Raw genomic sequence first — 21344 nt, 5'->3', positions numbered from 1 at the left:
GCTTTTTAGTATTTACATGTAATTATTTCTACCACTTGTAGACCTAAGTAGAATTACTGGGTCATCGGGAATCACAGGGCTTGTGTTCAATCAACTTTAGTACGTAAGTCCCACCTTTCCAAGGTGCTTGTATCAAGCCGAGTAAGAGTTCTCACAACTATCAGTCTAACAGAATTCTACTTCCTTCACATTCTCCCCAGTCATGGGTATTTTCTGTCTTTTTCATTTTAGTCTTTTTGGCAGATGAGGTTTTGTGGTTTTAATTTTCATTTATCTGATGACTAATGAAGTTGAGCTGTTTTTATATGTTTATTGGCTATTTCTATATCCACTTTTGTGAAGTGCATATGTTGTTGTATGCCTTTTTAAATTATTTGAAGGAGTTCTTTATACATTATGGATACAAATTTTTTGTGGACTGCAATGTCAGCTCACGCCTTGTATTCTAGCTTGCCCTTCCTTATGACCTTCCCAAAGATTTTGAATTTGCCTAGCAGGCCCCATAATCACATAAGCCAATTTCTTGCAATAAATCTCAAATATATATCTTCTGCTGGAGTGTTTCTGCAGTTGAACCCTGCCTAATACAATATCATTCATCAGATTTTAAAATTGCTCATCTATTTTTAGTTTGCTGAAAGTTCTTTTTTTATCATGAATAAGTATCGACTTTTATAAATGCTTTTCTGCATCTATTGAGATGATTACCTGGCTTCATTCCACTAATCTGTTAATGTGATAAACTACATTGAATGATTTCTTAATATTAATCCAAACTTGCATTCCTGGAATAAACCCTACTTGATCATGATGAGTTATTCTTTTTATATATCTCTGGATTCAATTTCCAAATGTCATTTTCAGGATTTTAGTGCCTATGTTCATGAGAAATATTGGCCAGTAATTTTCCTTTCTTATTAGTGTCCTTGTTAGGTTTGATTAAAAAATTCTGGGGCCTCATAAATGAGGTGGAAGGGTACACTCTTTTTTTTCATTTTGGGAAATAATATATGGAAGTTTGTATCATTTCCTTTTTAAGATTTGCAAGAATTTGCCAATATAATTATCTGGGCCTGGAATTGTATTTCTCCTGGGCCAGTATAATCATCTGGGATTGTATGTTCTGTATTTTGCAATAAAGATAAACTCATTCAGGTTTGTTTTTCTTCTTATTTCAGTTATGGCAAGTTGTGTTTTTCAAAGGATTTTGTCCATTTTCTCCAAACTGTTATATTTATTGACAAAAATTTGTTTGTATTTTAGACTTACTATCATAGTAGTATTCCATTTTTTTCATTGACAGTATTGATCATTTATCTTCTCTCTTTGTTCTGATTAACTTGAAGGAGGCTTTTTTATTTTTGTTAACCTGACAAAAGAATCTTCTGTCTCTTGATTATTTTGATCATATATTTGCAATTAGATTTTATCTCTATATTTTGTTTTTATTTTTATTATTTCATTCTTTCTACTTCCTCTGGTTTAAGTTTGCTCTTCTATTACCATCTTCTTAAGACAGAAATCTATATCTTTGGGGTCTACCTTTTTGTCAATGTATACAATTAGCATCATAAATTTCTCTCTGAGCAATGCCTCAGCTCCTCAGCTGCATCCCTGCAAGTGGAATAATGCCCTTGTATTATGAGGGTTAATTTTACTAGGCCTTGAATTGGTGTGGGCTATTTTGTCGAAGTAATAAATGTGCTTAAATGGTAGTCATTCCTGGTCAAGAGATGAATATACTGATTAGTGTTTTTTTGTAACCATGTGTCCAAGGTGAGGTTTGGGGTGCTTTATAACTGCTTGTCAGCATTGTTTATTGATAACAGTGAGACTGATTATTTGTGCCTGATCTTAGGTAAAACCTTGGAGGGGTCTACCATTGAGGTGTCTATGCAGCATGAAAATGCCTACATGATCAGAAGGAAATAGGTTTTACACTCTATTTTGGGCTCCCTGGATTCAAGGGTGTTCCATCCACATATTGGTGCTTTAAGATCTGAGAGAGAAGAATGTCAATGATGACCCTACATAGGGAGAAGAATGGGAGATTGTGCCTATCCTCTATAGACTTCTAACTGTGAGGCAGCCTTTGGCTACTGTCCTAAGTTTTACTTGTTCCAATTTTGTATTATTTCCCTACAATAAATCATAGATTTATAAGCATTGTCATTTGGGGTCCTGTGAATCTTTAACAGTCAAATCCTGTTTAACTGCTACCGTTAGTGAAGACCTGTTTTCATTAACATTCAGTTCAATATATTTTCTCAATTCCATTGTGATTTCTTCTTTGACCCCTAAGTTTTTTTTAGCATAGTGTTGTCCAAATATTTAGGAGTTGTCTATCTTCACAACTTAATTTCTATTTTAAGTTTACATAGAGAGAACATCATTTAAAATTTTATTACATTTCAACATATGGTCTATTTTAATAAATTTCTATGTCTACTTGAATGTGTTATATATTTGTTGGAAGTAATGTTTTATGTATTCCAACAGGATCAAGTTGCTAATAATAATAATAATAATAATACATAATCCTTATTTCTTTGATCAGCTCATTGTACCAGATACTGAGAACATTGTGTTAAAATATCAAATACAACTGTGGATTTGTTTGTACTTCCTTTTATTGTTTCATATTTGGTTCTTTTGTTTTTCAGGTGCATCCATATTTAGCACTGTTATGTCTTCCTTTTGAATCAATACATTCATCATCATAAAATGTTCCTCTTTTTTGCTAATTATATTTCTCATCTCAAAGTACTCTCTTATTTTAGTAGACTAGCTTTCCTTTTATTTAGTGTTTGTGTGGTATTTTTTTTTCTGTCCTTTTATTTTCAATATTTCTGTGTCCTTAATATTTATAGTATGGTATATATATATGTAACTGCATAAATTTCTTATTTTTTCTTATCCAGACTAAAAATATTTGTTATAGGGTTTAGCAAACACATACACACACAAAATATGTTTTAGTCATATGTTGTATTATTCTTTAACGGTTAGCCTATGAACTACAAATATACACTCTTCATTTACCATAGCACTGTTACTATTTTACTATTAGGTTGGTGCAAAAGTTATTGCGGTTTCTTGCCATTACTTTCAATGGCAAGAAACCGCAATTGAAAGTAATGGCAAGAAACCGCAAAAACTTTTGCACCAACCTAATATTTTTCTAAAGATTCTAGAATCATACAACAATTTAATTCCATTTATTCATGACTGTACACTGTATGTTTTTTCATATATTTTACTTTCTCATATGTTTAAATTTTATATCATTTGCTATTGTTTTTAAAAGTCAATACAAATTAAAGAATCTTTGCTATCAATGTAATATTAAATTTTCTTTTTCAACTCACTCATCTTACTCATCACGAAATTGAATATCAACAAAAATAAATAATTTATTCAAAGTCACGTATCTTATTTTTAGCAGAGCCATACTTGAAGTCTATTCTGACTATTAGGCCAATCCTCATATCTTTACAAAAAGTGTCTTCAAATATTTTGAAACTGACTCAGAGGTTTTGAAGCTATGGATATATATATAGCTATGGATATACATAGAGACTAAAATTCACTTTAATATTTACAAGCAAAATACTTACTGAGCAACTTCTATGGGGCCAGGAACCATACTTTGCACAAAAGTTATAGTAATTAGTGAAACAACAAAATTCTTGCCAAAATAAGGCATTTTTCTAATTCAGTTTTAAAGTGAAGGAGTTAAGAATATGCCATCCACAATATGTAATTCTGGCATATTAATTATTTAAGTTAAAGGCAATTGAAAAATAACAATTATAAGAAGATCACTTTGACCTTTGTGCCTTCTTAAAAGCAAGAGATGAAAGTCTCATGTGAAAGATGTTCTCCCTATCTTAGAAGAAAAATCGCATTATTATCATCAAAGATGTAAAATTGAAGCCAAAGAAAATTTGTACAAACCTTGTTACACTTAATTCATATCTTCCTGGCCACTTTTCTACCCAATTAACTGTCCTGGCTCAAGCCCCTTTGCCTTATCACATTTTCATAATTTATTATTCTTTGTCAAATTTGTTACATAAGTGATTGATTCTAATTCCTTCTTTGGGTCTTTATTTTCTTGTGAGGGCTTGCATGACCTGTAAAACTTGTATTAAGTACATTTGTATGCTCTTATTCATTTTAATCTATCTTATGTAAATTTATTTCTTGAGCTGGATCCCTAAATGAATGGAGGTGGAATTTTGCCTTCCCTATAACAATTGTTTCAACGTTTGCTACAACCTGCTTTATACTAGGCAATATGTTGTATCTGGCAATATTTATCACCAGCAACTAGATATCTAATGTGACAAGGTATATAATTCTATTGTTCTTGTCCTGGATACTTTGTGGAAAATAGAACCGGAAATTTTAACCTAAATACTAGATCTGTACTCCTAACTTTTTCAAACTTAATGCCATATGAAAGAAAATAGCTTCCAACAGAGTAAGCTCAGGGAACCAGAGTCTAGTGTTAGCACTTTATAATTCACTATTTGTTCTTCTCCTGCCAAGAGGAATTCAACCAATCACTAAATGAGTTTTATGAAATAGTTCACCAAGTATAACCTGAGAAAAAGTTCCCACACTTCACTTGTCAAATGCCTCATTCCTAGAGTGACTTTGGGATCTTTAAGAGAAATTTATTTGTAGCTCACAGATGCTCAGTATTGCTTAGAATATGGACATACATATGCTAGACTTGTTATATATAAAGATCTTATAATTAAATGTCATATGTGGCAATTTCATGTTGGCTCCCCACCATGGGTGTTAAATGTAGCTCTATTTGAAAACCAGGTTTCTTAACTTCAAGAATCAATTTAAAAAATCAAGTGGTCAGGAAACCACTTCAAGGTATAACAGACTATATAGATGCTACTCTATCTTAATATTATATTATTTATAACAATCACTAATCTAATGTGCAACTAAATCACCACCAAGGCAGCAACTTCTCAAAGGGAAAATAAAATTCTACTTTCTGAAGAGATGTGCAATATCTGAAAATAGAATTTGAAAGATGAAGAAAATAAAAGAGTAAAAAGTTATTTATAAGAAAGACCAACAAGGCAATATAGTAAAGTGCAGTTTATTTGAAAAGTATTAGGAGCTCATCTAGACACTAATCAAAAGCCAGGTAAGCAAATGCCTTGCTTCAAGGCAGAAAAGCTGACTTAGAATTAAAGATTCATGGCAAGTAATGGTAATGGTAAAAAATGATGAACTGTAACATTAAAAAAGGAGGGAGGAAAAACATTTTCTTTTTAAAAGTTACCATATTTTCAAAAATAAAATAAATGGGGGAAATATAAATGTGAGATATGTTTAGAAGGTGCAACTCAAAATCTTAGATTATATAGACAGGTATTCCTAAAACACAAAGAAATTTATAATTTTAGGGATAAATCGACTATATTTTTAAAACGTTTTATTTTTAGTTATTATGGATACATAGTAGTTTTACATATTTATGGGGTACATGTGATATTTTAATGCAAGCATACAATGTACAATGATCAAACCAGGGTAATTAGATTTTCCTTAACCTCAAACATTTATCATTTCTTTGTGTTACGAACATTCCAATTCCACTCTTTTACTATCTTGAAATATACCGTAAATTATTGTGAACCATAGTAGACATATTGTGCTACTGAACACTAGCTCTTCCTTCTAACTGTATTTTTGTACCCATTAACCAACCTCTTTTCATCTCTCCCTCCCCACTACCCTTTCAAGCCTCTGTAATCATCATTCTACTCTCTATCTCCATTAGTCCAATATTTTTTAGCTCCCACATGTAAGTGAGAACATGTGATATTTGCCTTTCTGTGCCAGGCTTATTTCACTCAACATAATCTCCAGTTCCAACTATGCTGTTGCAAATGACAGGATTTTTACTTTTTTTATGGCTAAACTATTCCATCGTGCATATGCATGACATTTTCTTTATTCCTTCATTCACTGATGGACACCTGGGTTGATTCCATATTTTGGCTATAGTGAATATTGCTTTAATAAACATGGGAGTGCAGATATCTCTTCAATAAATTGATTTTTAAAATATATACCAGCAGTGGGATTGCTGGATCATATGGAAGTTCTATTTTTAGTTTTTTTGAGGAACTTCCATACTGTTTTTTATAGTGTCTGCACTAATTTACATTCCTACCAACAGTGTACAAGGGTTCCCTTTTCTCTGTATCCTTGCCAGCCTCCTTTATTTCCTGACTTTTGATAAAAGCCATTTTAAAGGGTGTGAGATGATATCACAATGTAGTTTCAATTTGCAGTTTCCTGATGATTCGTGATATTGAACTTTTTTAATATGCTTCTTGGTCATTTTTATATCGTCTTTGGAGAAATGTCTATTCAGATCTTTTGCTCATTTTTAATTTGCATTATTTTTATTGTTATTGAGTTGTTTGAGCTCTTTATATATGCTGGTTATTAATTCCTTGTCATCACATGGGTAGTTTGCAAATGTTTTCTCCCATTCTGTGAGTTGTCTTTTTATTGAGTTGATTGTTTCCTTTGCTGTGCAGAAGCTTTTTTTGCTTGAAGTGATCCCATTTGTCCTTTTTAACTTTGGTTGCCTAGATCTTACTCAAGAAATCTTTAGCAGTCTTAAGAAATCTTTGCCCAGACCAATATCCTGGGGTGTTTCCCCAATGTTTTCTTATAGTAGTTTCATATTTTCAAGTCTTAGATTTAAGTCTTTAATCCATTTTAATATGTCTTTTTATATGGTGAGAGATAGGGGTCTAATTTCATTCTTCTGTATATGGATCTCCAGTTTTCTCAGCACCATTTATTGAAGAGACCATCCTTTCCCCAATATATGTTCTTGGCACGTTTGATAAAAATGAGTTGACTGTAAATGTGTGGATTTATTTCTGGGTTTTCTTTTCTGTCTCATTGGTCTGTGTGTCTGTTTTTATGCCAATACCATGCTGTCTTAGTTACTATTGCTCTATAGTATAATTTGAAGTCAGGTAATGTGATTCCTTTGGTTTTGTTCTTTTTGCTCAAGATAGCTTTTGTTATTCTGGGTCTTTTGTGGTTCCATGTAAATGTTAGCATTATTATTTTCTATTTCTGTGAAAAATATCATTGGTATTTTGATAGGAGTTCTATTGAATCAGTAGATTGCTTTGGATAGTATGGGAATTTTAACAATATTGATTCATCTAATCCATGAACACTGAATAACTTTCCATTTTTTGTGTGTCCTCTTTTCAATTTCTTTCATCAGTGTTTCATGGTGTTCATTATAGAGATCTTTCATTTTTTCAATTAAGTTTATTTCTAAGTATTTTATTTGTAGCTGTTGTAAGTGGGATTATATTCTTGGTTTCTTTTTAAGACTGTTGGCTGTTTTAATATATAAATGCTACTGATTTTTGTATGTTTATTTTGTATCCTAAAACTTTTATTTTGTATCCTAAAACTTTACAGAATTTGTCAGTTCTAATAGTTTTTGGTGGAGTCTTTAGGTTTTCCCACATTTAAGATCATATCATTTGCAAACAAGGAAAATTTGATTTCTTCCTTTCCAATTTTGGTGTCCTTTATTTCCTTCTCTTGTTTAGTTGTTCTGGCTAGAACTTATAGAACTATGTTGAATAAAGATGGTGAAAGTGAGCAGCATCCTTGTCTTATTTCAGATCTTAGAGAAAAGGCTTTCCATTTTTTTCTGTTCAATGTACTAGGTGTGGGTTGGTCATATATGGTTATATTGACTTTAGATATAGTCTGCTCCGATCTCTTTATTTTACAGATAAAGGCAACAAATCTTCGAGAGAGTAACTCACTCCCTGAAGCCCTAGAACTAAAATATAATAAAACCAAGTCTAGAACCCAGATGAATCTTGTAATATTGTGTTATTCCTGTCATACTTTTCAACATAGAACATTTGTAATTATCCTTTTTGAGAAATATTAGGCATCTTCCCTTCTTTGAGAACTAGATAAACCCTTCATTTTGGCACGACTAAGTAGAATATTTTTGTTTTTTGGCTTCTAATATTGTTTGGAACTAGGTTGATTAGATGTCTTTCATTTTCAAAAGGCTGTAAGCTTATTGAGTTCCATTTGATGTTATTTATCTTTGATTTTGCCAGAGTCCAATATCATATCTTACACATAGTAAGTGGGCAAGATGTTTGAGGTATATTATGCATTTGTTCACTTAGTGATTGGTTGAATTTCCTCTTAGCAGGAGAAAAACAAACACTGAATCATGAAGTGCTACCACTAGATTCTGGTTCCCTGAGTTTACTCTCTCTGAAACTATTTGCTTCCATGTAGCATTTACTTTTGAAAATTGGAGTAGGGATCTAGGATTAGATAAAGATGTCTAAATTGCTACATCTGTAATTATTTAAATTAACTTATGTGTCAGATTCAGTTCATAAACCATTCCAGATCTGCTCAATCTGTTTTCTTCCTCAGCCCTAGCAGCTTCTTCACTGGAGACATGGGGCCACTGTCCTTATTGTCTTATCTCCTCTCACTGCTGGCACTCAGCCCTTTCCGAGTGAGAGACGGGCATCAGCAGGAAGTCTAACCACACTGGACTCACTGGCTTATTATTTTTTAACCACTTCTGACCCCTGATGAATTGCCCCAACATGGGGAATAAAAAATGGGATACTGCAGTATGTGTCCAAAGATACCAGATAATACCAACTGCAAATGTCTTTGAAGGATAAGACTACTGCCTCTCAGAGTAAACTATGAAGATAGGAAGGAACTGACAGATATGCTTTCCTTCCTTCTCTGTCAGGGACTGTTCCAAAAAACAACAGTTACATATAAACTGATGGGAAGAAGCCATATGTTTGAGGATGCAACTGCATTTTCTTGTGATACTCTGGCCAGCTTAGGAATTCAGCACCTTGTATTTGCTTTCTGTTCTCTACCTCAGCATGTATGTTTTTCACAGACTCTGTTTCCCAGGGAATATAGTCTAAAAGAATTTCAATATGTAGTGGTTATTGGTTCTTATCAGTTGAGCTTCATGAATCTTTTTTTTTTTTTTTTGAGATGGAGTCTCCCTCTGTCACCCAGGCTGGAGTGGAGCTTCATGAAATTTATAAAGAGATTAGTGACAAGTCATAATTCAGAGACCCTTTTGTATTTCCTTATAAGATATAAAGTGAATTTTACATTTAAAGTTTGCTTAAAATAAAGGTAAACAGCCTCTTTTTAATTTACTATGAGTTTTTATTTACAACTAGACATCTAAAAGATTATTTTTTATTATACTTTAAGTTTTAGTGTACGTGTGCACAATGTGCAGGTTAGTTACATATGTATACATGTGCCATGCTGGTGTGCTGCACCCATTAATTCGTCATTTAGCATTAGGTATATTTCCTAAAGCTATCCCTCCCCCCTTCCCCCACCCCACAACAGTCCCCAGAGTGTGATGTTCCCCTTCCTGTGTCCATGTGTTCTCATTGTTCAATTCCCACCTATGAGTGAGAATATGCGGTGTTTGGTTTTTTGTTCTTGTGATAGTTTACTGAGAATGATGACTTCCAATTTCATCCATGTCCCTACAAAGGACATGAACTCATTTTTTATGGCTGCATGGTATTCCATGGTGTATATGTGCCACATTTTCTTAATCCAGTCTATCATTGTTGGACATTTGGGTTGGTTGCAAGTCTTTGCTATTGTGAATAGTGCCACAATAAACATACGTGTGCATGTGTCTTTATAGCAGCATGATTTATAGTCCTTTGGGTATATACCTAGTAATGGGATGGCTGGGTCAAATGGTATTTCTAGTTCTAGATCCCTGAGGAATCGCCACACTGACTTCCACAATGGTTGAACTAGTTTACAGTCCCACCAACAGTGTAAAAGTGTTCCTATTTCTCCACATCCTGTCCAGCACCTGTTGTTTCCTGACTTTTTAATGATTGCCATTCTAACTGGTGTGAGATGGTATCTCATTGTGGTTTTGATTTGCATTTCGCTGATGGCCAGTGATGGTGAGCATTTTTTCATGTGTTTTTGGCTGCATAAATGTCTTCTTTTGAGAAGTGTCTGTTCATATCCTTTGCCCACTTTTTGATGGTGTTGTTTGTTTTTTCTTGTAAATTTGTTTGAGTTCATTGTAGATTCTGGATATTAGCCCTTTGTCAGATGAGTAGATTGTGAAAATCTTCTCCCATTTTGTAGGTTGCCTGTTCACTCTGATGGTGGTTTCTTTTGCTGTGCAGAAGCTCTTTAGCTTAATTAGATCCCATTCATCAATTTTGGCTTTTGTTGCCATTGCTTTTGGTGTTTTAGACATGAAGTCGTTGCCCATGCCTATGTCCTGAATGGTAATGCCTAGGTTTTCTTCTAGGGTTTTTATGGTTTTAGGTCTAACGTTTAAGTCTTTAATCCATCTTGAATTGATTTTTGTATAAGGTGTAAGGAAGGGATCCAGTTTCAGCTTTCAACATATGGCTAGCCAGTTTTCCCAGCACCATTTATTAAATAGGGAATCCTTTCCCCATTGCTTGTTTTTCTCAGGTTTGTCAAAGATCAGATAGTTGTAGATAGGCAGTGTTATTTCTGAGGGCTCTGTTCTGTTCCATTGATCTATATCTGTGTTTTGGTACCAGTACCATGCTGTTTTGGTACCAGTACCATGCTGTTTTGGTTACTGTAGCCTTGTAGTATAGTTTGAAGTCAGGTAGCGTGATGCCTCCAGCTTTGTTCTTTTGGCTTAGGATTGACTTGGCGATGCGGGCTCTTTTTTGGTTCCATATGAACTTTAAAGTAGTTTTTTCCAACTCTGTGAAGAAAGTCATTGGTAGCTTGATGGGGATGGCATTGAATCTATAAATTACCTTGGGCAGTATGGCCATTTTCATGATATTGATTCTTCCTACCCATGAGCATGGAATGTTCTTCCATTTGTTTGTATCCTCTTTTATTTCATTGAGCAGTGGTTTGTAGTTCTCCTTGAAGAGGTCCTTCACGTCCCTTGTAAGTTGGATTCTTAAGTATTTTATTCTCTTTGGAGCAATTGTGAATGGGAGTTCACTCATGATTTGGCTCTCTGTCTGTTATTGGTGTATAAGAATGCTTGTGATTTTTGCACATTGATTTTGTATCCTGAGACTTTGCTGAAGTTGCTTATCAGCTTAAGGAGATTTTGGGCTGAGACAATGGGATTTTCTAGATATACAATCATGTCACCTGCAAACAGGGACAATTTGACTTCCTCTTTTCCTAATTGAATACCCTTTATTTCCTTCTCCTTCCTAATTGCCCTGGCCAGAACTTCCAACACTATGTTGAATAGGAGTGGTAAGAGAGGGCATCCCTGTCTTGTGCCGGTTTTCAAAGGGAATGATTCCAGTTTTTGCCCATTCAGTATGATATTGGCTATGAGTTTGTCATAGATAGCTCTTATTATTTTGAGATACGTCCCATCAATACCTAATTTATTGAGAGTTTTTAGCATGAAGGGTTGTTGAATTTTGTCAAAGGTCTTTTCTGCATCTATTGAGATAATCATGTGGTTTTTGTCTTTGGTTCTGTTTATATGCTGAATTACATTTATTGATTTGCGTATATTGAACCAGCCTTGCATCCCAGGGATGAAGCCCACTTCATCATGGTGGATAAGCTTTTTGATGTGCTGCTGGATTTGGTTTGCCAGTATTTTATTGAGGATTTTTGCATCAATGTTCTTCAAGGATATTGGTCTAAAATTCTCTTTTTTGGTTGTGTCTCTGCCTGGCTTTGGTATCAGGATGATGCTGGCCTCATAAAATGAGTTAGGGAGGATTCCCTCCTTTTCTATTGATTGGAATAGTTTCAGAAGGAATGGTACCAGTTCCTTCTTGTACCTCTGGTAGAATTCGGCTGTGAATCCATCTGGTCCTGGACTCTTTTTGGTTGGTAAGCTATTGATTATTGCCACAATTTCAGATCCTGTTATTGGTCTGTTCAGAGATTCAACTTCTTCCTGGTTTAGTGTTGGGAGAGTGTACGTGTCAAGGAATTTACCCATTTCTTCTAGATTTTCTAGTTTATTTGCATAGAGGTGTTTGTAGTATTCTCTGATGGTAGTTTGTATTTCTGTGGGATTGGTGGTGACATCCCCTTTATCATTTTTTATTGCGTCTATTTGATTCTCTCTTTTTTTCTTTCTTGGTCTTGCTAGCGGATCAATTGCTAGCAGTCTTGCTAAAGGATCAATTTTGTTGATCCTTTCAAAAAACCAGGTCCTGGATTCATTAATTTTTTGAAGGGTTTTTTGTGTCTCTATTTCCTTCAGTTCTGCTCTGATTTTAGTTATTTCTTGCCTTCTGCTAGCTTTTGAATGTGTTTGCTCTTGCTTTTCTAGTTCTTTTAATTGTGATGTTAGGGTATCAGTTTTGGATCTTTCCTGCTTTCTCTTGTGGGCATTTAGTGCTATAAATTTCCCTCTACACACTGCTTTGAATGTGACCCAGAGATTCTGGTATGCTGTGTCTTTGTTCTCATTGGTTTCAAAGAACATCTTTATTTCTGCCTTCATTTCTTTATGTACCCAGTAGTCATTCAGGAGCAGGGTGTTCAGGTTCCATGTAGTTGAGCGGTTTTGAGTGAGTTTCTTAATCCTGAGTCTAGTTTGATTGCACTGTGGTCTTAGAGACAGTTTGTTATAATTTCTGTTCTTTTACATTTGCTGAGGAGAGGTTTACTTCCAGCTATGTGGTCAATTTTGGAATAGGTGTGGTGCTGAAAAAAATGTATATTCTGTTGATTTGGGGTGGAGAGTTCTGTAGATGTCTATTAGGTCCGCTTGGTGTAGGGCTGAGTTCAATTCCTGGGTATACTTGTTAACTTTTTGTCTCGTTGTTCTGTCTAATATTGACAGTGGGGTGTTAAAGTCTCCCATTATTATTGTGTGGGAGTCTTAAGTCTCTTTGTAGGTCACTCAGGACTTGCTTTATGAATCTGGGTGCTCCTGTATTGGGTGCATATATATTTAGGATAGTTAGCTCTTCTTGTTGAATTGATCCCTTTACCATTATGTAATGGCCTTCTTTGTCTCTTTTTATCTTTGTTGGTTTAAAGTCTGTTTTATCAGAAACTAGGATTGCAACCCCTGCCTTTTTTTGTTTTCCATTTGCTTGGTAGATCTTCCTCCATCCTTTTATTTTGAGCCTATGTGTGTCTCTGCACATTAGATGGGTTTCCTGAATACAGCACACTGATGGGTCTTGACTCTTCATCCAAATTGCCAGTCTGTGTCTTTTAATTGGAGCATTTAGTCCATTTACATTTAAAGTTAATATTGTTTTGTGTGAATTTGATCCTGTGATTATGATGTTAGCTGGTTATTTTGCTCGTTAGTTGATGCAGTTTCTTCCTAGCCTCGATGGTCTTTACATTTTGGCATGATTTTGCAGCAGCTGGTACCGGTTGTTCCTTTCCATGTCTAGTGCTTCCTTCAGGAGCTCTTTTAGGGCAGGCCTGGTGGTGACAAAATCTCTCAGCATTTGCTTGTCTGTAAAGTATTTTATTTCTCCTTCACTTATGAAGCTTAGTTTGGCTGGATATGAAATTCTGGGTTGAAAATTCTTTTCTTTAAGAATGTTGAATATTGGCCCCCACTCTCTTCTGGCTTGTAGAGTTTCTGCCGAGAGATCCACTATTAGTCTGATGGGCTTCCCTTTGTGGGGAACCTGACCTTTCTCTCTGGCTGCCCTTAACATTTTTTCCTTCATTTCAACTTTGGTGAATCTGACAATTATGTGTCTTGGAGTTGCTCTTCTTGAGGAGTATCTTTGTGGTATTCTCTGTATTTCCTGAATCTGAATGTTGGCCTGCCTTGCTAGATTGGGGAAGTTCTCCTGGATAATATCCTGCAGAGTGTTTTCCAACTTGGTTCCATTCTCCCCGTCACTTTCAGGTACACCAATCAGATGCAGATTTGGTCTTTTCACATAGTCCCATATTTCTTGGAGGCTTTGTTCGTTTCTTTTTATTCTTTTTTCTCTAAACTTCCCTTCTCGCTTCATTTCATTCATTTCATCTTCCATCACTGATACCCTTTCTTCCAGTTGATTGCATCGGCTCCTGAGGCTTCTGCATTTTTCACATAGTTCTCGAGCCTTGGCTTTCAGCTCCAACAGCTCCTTTAAGCACTTCTTTGTATTGGTTATTCTAGTTATACATTCGTCTAAATTTTTTTCAAAGTTTTTAACTTCTTCGCCTTTGGTTTGAATTTCCTCCTGTAGCTCGGAGTAGTTTGATCATCTGAAGCCTTCTTCTCTTAACTCATCAAAGTCATTCTCCATCTATCTTTGTTCCATTGCTGGTGAGGAACTGCGTTCCTTTGGAGGAGGATTGGCGCTCTGCTTTTTAGAGTTTCCAGTTTTTCTGCTCTGTTTCTTCCCCATGATTGTGGTTTTATCTACTTTTGGTCTTTGATGATGGTGATGTACAGATGGGTTTTTGGTGTGGATGTCCTTTCTGTTTGTTAGAAGGAAAACTAACAGACAGGACCCTCAGCTGCAGGTCTGTTGGAGTTTGCTAGAGGTCCACTCCAGACCCAGTTTGCCTGGGTATCAGCAGTGGTGTCTGCAGAACACGGATTTTCGTGAACCGCGAATGCTGCTGTCTGATCGTTCCTCTGGAAGTTTTGTCTCAGAGGAGTACCCGGCCATGTAAGGTGTCAGTCTGCCCCTACTGGGGGGTGCCTCCCAGTTAGGCTGCTCGGGGGTCAGGGGTCAGGGACCCACTTGAGGAGGCAGTCTGCCCGTTCTCAGATCTCCAGCTGTGTGCTGGGAGAACCACTGCTCTCTTCAAAGCTGTCAGACAGGGACATTTAAGTCTGCAGAGGTTACTGCTGTCTTTTTGTTTGTCTGTGCCCTGCCCCCAGAGGTGGAGCCTACAGAGGCAGGCAGGCCTCCTTGAGCTGTGGTGGGCTCTACCCAGTTTGAGCTTCCCTTCCGGGCAGCTTTGTTTACCTACTCACAGCTTGGCAATGGCAGGCGCCCCTCCCCCAGCCTGGCTGCCGCCTTGCAGTTTGATCTCAGACTGCCCTGCTAGCAATCAGCGAGACTCCGTGGGCGTAGGACCCTCCGAGCCAGGTGCGGGATATAGTCTCCTGGTGCGCCGTTTCCTAAGCCCGTCGGAAAAGTGCAGTATTAGGTTGGGAGTGACCAGATTTTCCAGGTGCCGTCTGTCACCCCTTTCCTTGACCAGGAAAGGGAACTCCCTGACCCCTTGCACTTCCTGAGTGAGGCAATGCCTCGCCCTGCTTGGGCTCATGCACAGTGCGCGGCACCCACTGTCCTGCGCCCACTGTCTGGCACTCCCTAGTGAGATGAACCTGGTACCTCAGAGGGAAATGCAGAAATCACCCATCTTCTGTGTCACTCACGCTGGGAGCTGTAGACCGGAGCTGTTCCTATTCGGCCATCTTGGCTCCCTTAAACTGATCCTCTTAAACACAGGTATGTATCACCTCTTTGCAGAAAACTATGTTGCAATTAATGAAAAATCTTACATAGTGTTTAACATATGCTAGGGGCTGTTCTAAGCTCCTTAAATATCATAATTCATTTAGCCCTCACGATAAATTATGGAAGTTTCCTCCCCATCTTCTTCCTTCTTCCTCCTCTTCTTCTTCCCACTGAGCATACTCATTTATTTAGCACATGTGCTAAATAATGTGTCCAAGGACGCAGAGCAAGAAAAGTGAACAAAATTAGGATTCCACGTCAAACTTGGAATCTATACTTGCACTGTCCAAAACAGTAGTCACTTAACACATGTGGCTATTGAGGATGTGTGTGTGTGTGTGTGTGTGCAAATTTTGTCATTAGCAGCCACTTACACACACACACACACACAAACATATATATATATATCATGGCTCATGGCAATAATTTTTTTATATTACGCCATATATTTACATGTCATACTATTTTATCTAATCTATTCTTACTAAGTATGTCAAAATGAGTTTTTACCCTTTCACTGTATATATTGCTGTCAATTACTAATTTAAAGTTCAGCACTTTCACAAAGGTTATATTACGAACTCCTGTCCAAGATAATGTCATGATCTGTGTTCAGTATCTCAGACAATTCTCATAATCCTGATAAAATGGCACTTTCATTTCCACAGGTGAGGAATCTGAGGGAAGAAAACATAACTTCCTACAGTTAACAGAAAAAATGTTGAAATAAAGATTCAAAACTATGATTTCAAAGTTTGTACTTCATTTTGCTCTATGTGCTATACATCGTTCTTAACTTTATTTGAGAAAACTTTGGTTTCTATTTTATATTTTAATATATTAAAAAACTCAAGCCAGGTGTGGTGGCTCATGCCTGTAATCCCAGCACTTTGGGAGGCCGAGGTGGGTGGATCATTTGAGATCAGGAGTTTGAGACTAGTTTGGCCAACATGGTGAAACCCCGGCTCTACTACAAATACAAAAATGTCCCTAGTGGTAGTGGGGGTGTGCCTGTAATCCCAGCTACTTAGAAGGCTGAGGCAGCAGAATCACTTGAGACTGGGAGGCGGAGGTTGTGGTGAGCAGAGATCGCGCCAGTGCACTCCAGCTTGGGCAACAGAATGAGACCCTGTTTCAAAAAATAAATACATAAAAAACTCTGTATTACACTTTTAACAAGTAGTTATTTACAATTCTGCTTTCTAGTACAATAAATTTAAAGTTGGGTGCTTGCATTACTCTGTAAGTTACTTCATTACTATTATTATAACTTTAGAGCTTTTCGATTTTTTAACAAATAATAAATACTTTGTAGTCATCGGCAATAAAATATACTATTTGAAAAAGAGTAAAAAAAGTATCATACTGCATTGGTCTACAAAAGAAAAGATTATTCATATCTGTGCTATGATTTCCACTAGTCAATATGATAGCCACCATCAACATGTAGCTCTTGATCATTTGAATTGTGGCTAGTTCAACTGGTGTTCTCTGTAAGTCCAAAATACATCCACACTGTAAAGTCTTAGTATGACAAAAGTATATTAACTATATGATAAATTGTGTTTGTACTGATAACATGTTAAAATGATAATAATTTGAATATATTAAGTAAAATATATTATAAAAAATATTTTCAGTTGTTTGTTTTTACCATTTTTAATGTGGCTACTAGAAAACTTTAAATCACAAATGTGGGTGACATTTTTGGCTTACATTCCCCTTCTATTGATAGTGCTACATACAGTCAGAAAGCTAAACTGATACATCATTATTTATCAGCAGCCATTTTTAGAGGATAAAGGGAAACTGGAAATCATTTTAGTCTAATTCCTCATTTAATACCTTAATTAAAATCTAATTCCCCCAAAATTAGCTTTACCTAGGATGCCATTGACAATTAATAGAAGAATCATTTTAATGAAACTCAAAGCAATCTCTTTGGTGGAAAATATCTGTCTTCTGGTTATTTGTCACCTCTCAGGCTACTGCATCTGTATTCTGATTATATATCTGTAAGACTAGAAGGCAATAAACTATATTTCTCAGATTCCATTGCCAAATGATTTCTTATTATCTAATATCAATGGGAAGGACTTTGGGGTGAAGAGAGTTTGAGGAAAAGGAAAACATTTTACTTCTTCTCTTTGCTATAGTACTGTCACACAGTAATGGTAAGGATGTGTGACCATCAGTGATTATGGCCCTCGGCCCTTTGGCTGTTCTAACACTTACAGTGGCAGTGGCTACAGCTGTACCACAGCTGGTTTGGGTTTCTGGGTCCTAACCTAGAGATGTTAGTAGACTTCTGACAGCTGGATGTAACCACATGCAAGGCTTTTGGAAACCAAGTATCTGTTGAATATTACCATCAAATAAGTAATCATAACTTTAACATTATGGGATGGGGATGGCTGTTTCTGACTTAAATTGCAAAATTATAAAGTAAAATATCAGCCTCAAGGATTTAACCTTTCAGCTCAAGGCACAGAAAATAGTTTCTCATCTCTATAAGTCTAATCTTTATAGACACAGGTGTAATATGACTGGAAAATCAGACACCAAAGTTAATTTTGTAAGTTTGGGAATTGAAACATTTATGCAGTATAGATTCTTGCTAGGTATCTTTGATGAAAATTAATACTTTGCCTGGGAAATAGTAGAACTCTTAGAGTAGAAATGTAAATATTTGTGGGGATTCTGGTGAATCTGATCATCTTGGAAAGCTAAATATCCCCATGACTTTTTTTGCCAGCAAAAGCAATCTTTCTTCTCTTTTCTGATAGTAGATTTTCTTGACTGAAAATGCTGTGTATCTGTCATCTTTTGGTACACAATAAATAATCCCCAAATTAGTAATCAAAACTACTATGATTTATTATTTTTCATAGCTCAGTGGGATGGGATTCTGGGGAGTTCTGCTGGTCTTGACAGTGATCACTTATGCAACTACAATCATTTGATGATTGACTAAAAGCTAGGGGGCCCAAGTTGGCCTCACTGACTTGTCTGGCAGTTGATGGTGAATGCCATTTGGGGAAATGAGGTATTTCCATGTTTCTCTTTCCTAAATGGGGTTAGCATGATGGTTTTAGTATTCCAACAGAGGGAAAGCATAAGTCACAAGGCTTCTTAAGGCCTAGGCTGTGAAATTAACACAAGGCCAGTGCTGCTGCATTATAGTTATTAAAAAGAGACACAATGCCAGTCCAGTTTTAAGGAGGGCATCTGAGATTCTTTTGACACTGAAACTAATAGGCAAAAAAGGGAATACTATACTGACTAGCGTGATTAATAGACACCATACAGGAAAAACTGGTCGCAAGGGGATATGGGGAATTCATGAGATTCCTTTGGACAGCTCTTCACTGTCATCTTCAGCATGGTAGACTAAACAATCCAAAAAAGCAGGACCAGTGTTGGAGGAAGAAAATTATGTATAATTACTGAGGAGGCCTTATGACCAGTTACAGAAGTAAGGATTTTGACAGCTCTGCATAATTGTTTTCTTTATTGTTATATATGACATAACCATTTTTCTTTTATTTTATGCAAACAGTCAGGGTGACAGTTAATTTTGACTTCTCAACCTAGCCATTATTTGTGTTAACGAATATCTTAGTAAAATGATGACTGAACTATAAGAGATACTGACATTACCAAGATTGATAATATTATATGTATATATAAATATATATTCAGCAACTGCAGACTACTGCAGAAATATATATATATATTTTTTTTTCCTGAGGATATCTTGTAACCTGTTAGGTGGAATCATGACCTTTTGATTGTTATTGTATTATGTATAAAGGTTAAAAATGGGAATGGATATATATATATATTGCATTATGTTTACATATATGTGTGTGTGTGTGTGTCTGTGTATATATCTCCAATATATGTTTAAATTGGATAGAAGTATAGATATGAATGCAAGTAGCCAAAGGTATTAATTGTGCTTTTGTACTGGTCCTTTTGCAGTCTGAACTGCTATGGCTGTGAGCCTGCAAGTTACATTTCCCAGACTCCCTTAAACACTTGCTTTCTGTTATGATCAGACAATGTGAGGTTCTGAAAGGTAATCTGTTTTTGTTTTTTCTTTTAAATTTTAAAAGAATTTTAAATCTTTTTTCTTTTAAATTTTCATAATGCTAATTAAAAAGAAAATAATTAAAAACACCTTTCTTGTTAGTTATTAGAGTAGCTTTAATTCTTAAAACAAGATCTAAAAGAGAGAAATCAGCATGTTCATGGTTGTTTCCTCTAGAGAAAGCAGTAGTATTTATGGCCAAAAAGTGACAGGGAAGTTTAGTCCACATAATTTTGTGTTGTTTGCACAGTTGAAGACTGAGAATTTATTCATGTGTTACTTCAGTAAAAAAGTAAAACCCAAAGGACTGCATGAAATGCATTTTAGAAAAAGGTCTGCTAGTCTTCACATAGCTGGCTGCAGTTATTACTAGAAACGGGAATAAGTGGGGAAAGTGTTAGTATTTCACTTTTGTCTCCATGTTTTTATATATATGCCAATTATTTGAATAATTTAAAATTTTAATGCAAAAGAGCAGTAATTTCTGTAAGATTTTGGATGGGACCAAAATGGGGGAGGGGACCCCATAAACTCAAAAACAGGCATTTCATAAAATTTTATGCTTGATTTTTTTTTCTTTTCTTTCTTTCTTTCTTTCTTTTTTTTTTTTTTGAGACAAGATTGTGCTCTGTTGCCCAGGATGAAGTGTGATCACAGCTCACTGCAGCTTCACTTCCAAAATGTGATTTTCCTGCCTTAGCCTTCTGAGTAGCTGGGATTACAGGCACGCCATGCCCAGCTAATTGTTTTATTTTTTATTTGTAGAGATGAGGTCTCCCTATGTTGCTCAGGCTGGTCTTGAACTCCTAGGCTCAAGCAATCCTCCTGCCTTAGCCTCCCAAAGTGTTGGGATTATAAGCATGAGTGACCCTGCCAGCTCTTATGTGTGATTTTTAATGGCTACAAATAATTTCATCCTGTGAATGTGCTACAATTTGTTTAACAAATCCCCAAAGGCATATTTAGGCTACTTCCCCATTTTTCACTATTATAAACAACATATTGATAAATGCCTTGCCCTTTATCCATAATTACTTAATTTAAGATATATTATTAGAAAAGATGATGCATCCATTTACGAGTTTTGATATTCACTAGCAGAAAGTTTGTAAGGAGACACCCTAATTTTGCACATCTGGTTGACAAAGGTGAACACATTTGAAAACATAGCTGGTTTGTAAATGTGAAAAACTGGGCATCTTGGACACATCAATGGATTGGTATTAATTTGGTAATACCAAGCACAACAAATTTTGGTCAGGCTCCTCTGAGCCTTCTTCTCAACCAAGCCTTGACCTTGGCCTGTGATAAAGTTTGGATCTGTGTCACCACCCAAATCGCATGTTGAACTATAATCCCCAGTGTTGGAGGTGGGGCCTAGTGGGCGGTGACTGGATTATGGGGGGCGGTTTCTCATGAATGGTTTAGTATCATCCTGTTGGTACTGTCCTTGTGATAGTGAGATCTGCTTGTTTAAAAATGTGTGGCTGCTCTCTCCTCTCTCTTGCTCTTGCTTTCACCATGCTGCCTCTTGCCTCTGGAAGGTAATTTGAAGGCTGTTAGAACTGAGAAGCTTTTAGTATAGACAGCAGTGGCAATTGCTGGTAGCTGCTGGAAATTGCTGGTGTTGCTATAGCTTGGATGAGATTAGGTGAATGAGAATTCCAGCAGTTCCATCAGTGGCTAGACTTCCTTAGTGTTGGTTTGGTAAGCAAGTACCGGCATAGCTCTGGTAT

General features: G+C 36.1%; 1 long non-coding RNA gene across 7 annotated transcripts in view; it reads left to right on the top strand.

The window, feature by feature from the left end:
* The window catches only part of LOC124903309 (uncharacterized), a 98633-nt gene that overhangs the window by 61609 nt on the left and 15680 nt on the right, over positions 1-21344 (top strand). The window lies entirely within an intron of this gene.

This window comes from Homo sapiens, chromosome 14 (genome assembly GCF_000001405.40).
Source record: "Homo sapiens chromosome 14, GRCh38.p14 Primary Assembly".
NCBI lineage: Eukaryota > Metazoa > Chordata > Mammalia > Primates > Hominidae > Homo > Homo sapiens.
This window is presented reverse-complemented; position numbering and strand designations above follow the sequence as displayed.